The sequence below is a fragment of the Homo sapiens genome, chromosome 2 (assembly GCF_000001405.40).
Source record: "Homo sapiens chromosome 2, GRCh38.p14 Primary Assembly".
NCBI lineage: Eukaryota > Metazoa > Chordata > Mammalia > Primates > Hominidae > Homo > Homo sapiens.
Window position 1 is genome coordinate 12,604,758 of NC_000002.12, and position 3,001 is coordinate 12,607,758.

The 3,001-nt window shown below is 39.7% G+C and overlaps 1 annotated feature.

Moving 5' to 3' along the window:
• Positions 2,452-2,652: a silencer, noted in NCBI's record as "peak3596 fragment used in MPRA reporter construct". NCBI's record gives its function as "represses an SCP1 promoter by STARR-seq MPRAs in K562 erythroleukemia cells {active_cell/tissue: K562}" and the evidence as "EXISTENCE:reporter gene assay evidence [ECO:0000049][PMID:32103011]".

A 3,001-nucleotide genomic window follows, 5' to 3' on the forward strand; every position in this document is an offset into this window, starting at 1 on the left:
TGGAGACCTGGGCAGAGAGGAGGGGGCAGATGGAAGTGTGGGAAGAGGGGGTGCAGGGAATTGCTGTGAAAGCCTTCCATTGTGTGTAGGTGGCTCTGAAAGAGGAAGAAATAGATGTCAGTAACAGCAACATCAGGGACGGGGAAAAATGCAAGCAGAACCTCAGATATGGGTCTCATCAAAAATCAAAATAGTCTTACATCATGCCCTAGATATAGCCAAACACAGATGAGGCTAGACCACCAATGAGGGGGCTCCCCAAGGCTCTAAGTCATTCTCTCATGCTTTGTTGGAAAAGCTGTCCCACTTAACTCCAAATATATGGCTCTGGACAGGAACAGAGAAGCCAGCTTGAGCAACATCTTCTGAGTCACTGGCCAAGAAATGCTTCCCCACCTATCCTTCAGGTAGGAGAGTGGACACTAGTCAAAAAGGCACAAGTATTTCCAATTCAATTTCCCTGCACATGGCTGCAAGAGACAAATGTCACCGATTGAGTCTGAGCTTCACACATCCCAACTTAAAGCTCATTAAAAAGCTCCCAAAAAATGAGGACTTCAAGCTTGGAGTTCCCTCTGAAAGCCATGCCGGATCTAAAGTTCAGATCTTACAACATGCAGGCACCAGACTAGTCATCTGACATGCATTTTTCTATTTAATTCCCACAAAAACTTTGCTGGGGCTTTGTGATCTACCCTAAGGTGACATAACCAATTCTTAAGGAAGAAGGCCTGGCACTTGCATTTTTGTTCACCCAACTCTCGTTCATTTCTTCCTTCTTCTACCAATACATAAACACATCTGCAGCTGGAGGTTTTCCCAGGACTGGCAGGGCACTCTGCTCTGCAAGAGTTACTTGAATTTACTAAGGGGTATTTGGTGGATTGTTGAGGGGGATAAAAATAATATGTCAGGTGGCTGGGACCCCAAGTTTAAGTTTGCTGTTCACTAGCCTTATGACTATAATGTGTGCACTTGGCCCTTTTGAATTGCAGTTTTCTCTTCAATGTAGTAGGGATAATAATACCTACCTCATTTTTTTTAGATTAAATGTCAAAATTGTTCATAATATGTTAAATTTGCTAGCTTAGTATCACTGACTTTAACGTTAACTAGGTAAGGAAGAAACTACCCAAATACTGGACTCTAGCCAAGAAATACACACTATCTTTATCTTGGTTTTAATGAGATGCTCTCGTAATCATTCTATTTGCATAGCCTTAAGAATTAACAATGCAATTCAATGGTAACTGACTCTACTGTGGCAATGTAACAGCATCATCGATTAGTACAATGGAAAAGTAAGATTATTCTTTTAAAATTTAGTCTTGATGACCACTTGGCATGCCTTTCCATGCATGCCTTCTCCCTGAGCTGAGATAAGCAAAAAATGCCAAACAATAGGGAGTATTGGTGAGACATACTGGCTTTGGCAAGGCAGAAAAAAAAAAAAAGCACTAGTAATTCAATTTAGACTAAGATTTGTTTCTTCTGATCAGGTCAAACAAAAACTGTGAAAGCTCAATGATTCAATATTCTTTCACCACAACCTAAGGCAAGTCTCCTTATGTGGCCTGGCTGCTTAATTTATAGTATTATTTATCTCAGACCTCTATATTTCATCTAAATGTGGTCCTAGACATATTGCAATAACAAGTATGGTTAGAGATGGGGACAGCCCTTGACTTGATCTTAAAGGTGCATGGTTTTTAAAGTCAGGCTTTTCTGAATCTGGGTCAGGAAAGGCAGTGTGAAGCTAATTTGGAGCTGAGGTCTGCTCCCCCTGCTGACTCACAGTGTGGGCACAGTCCATAGTGTACGCTCTTAAAGTGCAATAAACTGTCCATGCCAGAGGACAATGCTCCAGTTGTTAAAAGTGCTTTATTCTGGAGCATGGACTTTCTACACGACATGGTCTGAGTGTGTCCTGGTGAGGAGGCTGAACCGTCTGTGGAAATGAGACTGTTCAATGTTTCTGCAGCAACTGTAGTCAGCTCCTTTTCCTTCCTGTTTGGGGGAGTTTAATTGGATGCAGCTGGAGCATCCCCGCACTCTGAGTCTGAATTTGCTAAAGAAAGAGGGTGGGAAAGGCAGTTCTCACTGCATTCTGTCTGAACCTACAAAGCCACGGGAGACTCCAGAGATAAAATGATTCAAAATCTCACTAAAGTCACTGTGGGTGTTTTCCCAACTGCCAAGACCCAGCTACACAGAACTGAAGTCACTCTTTAAGAATGCATGCAGATTAAGTTTATCTCCATCTTGAAACATTGGGAATAAAAATTAATAATGATAATAGTAATAATTTATAGTATTACTTGCTTCCCTAAATATTTTCACTTATCAGTTGATTGACTAGCATTAATTTGTTCTGAAAATAAAACATTTTTAGAGTAGGGTACAAAAAAAGGATAGGTAGCATGGTGGGAAAAGCGCAATTTAGGTTCAAAATCCACTGCTGAGAGTTACCCATGTATGATCATAGGCAAGTCACTTAAAGCTTATCTGAATTTCTGTTTCGTCTGATTACAAACCAACATATATAAAAAGGCATCATAGACTGAAACAAGGTTGTAAAAGGGGTCATCAGATAGTAACAAAATGAGATAGTTTCATGTCTTTTTTCCTTTCTAAAAAACAGAGCAGGAGGTATATATCCACATGAGTGTGTTTATTTCCAGGATCTTCCTTCAAGAGGGAGGAAAACTTATTCCTATGGTGTAGTAATCCTAGGAACACTTATAGTTTCCAAATCGGGAAATGATATAAGGCTTGCTTATGAATCACTTGAATTTGTGTGACATGATTTTATCGTCACATCCTTTTGTGTTTATTCATTTTTATCCCCATTGATAAGTCACTTCACTTATTTACTTGCTTTTGTTTTGAATGATGTTTGGCTCTTTATAAAATCAAATTCATTCTCAAAGATTTAACATCAGTGAAGAAATTGCAACTCTTTTCCTCCCTACTTTTGATCAGTCTCTTACACATTTGTGAG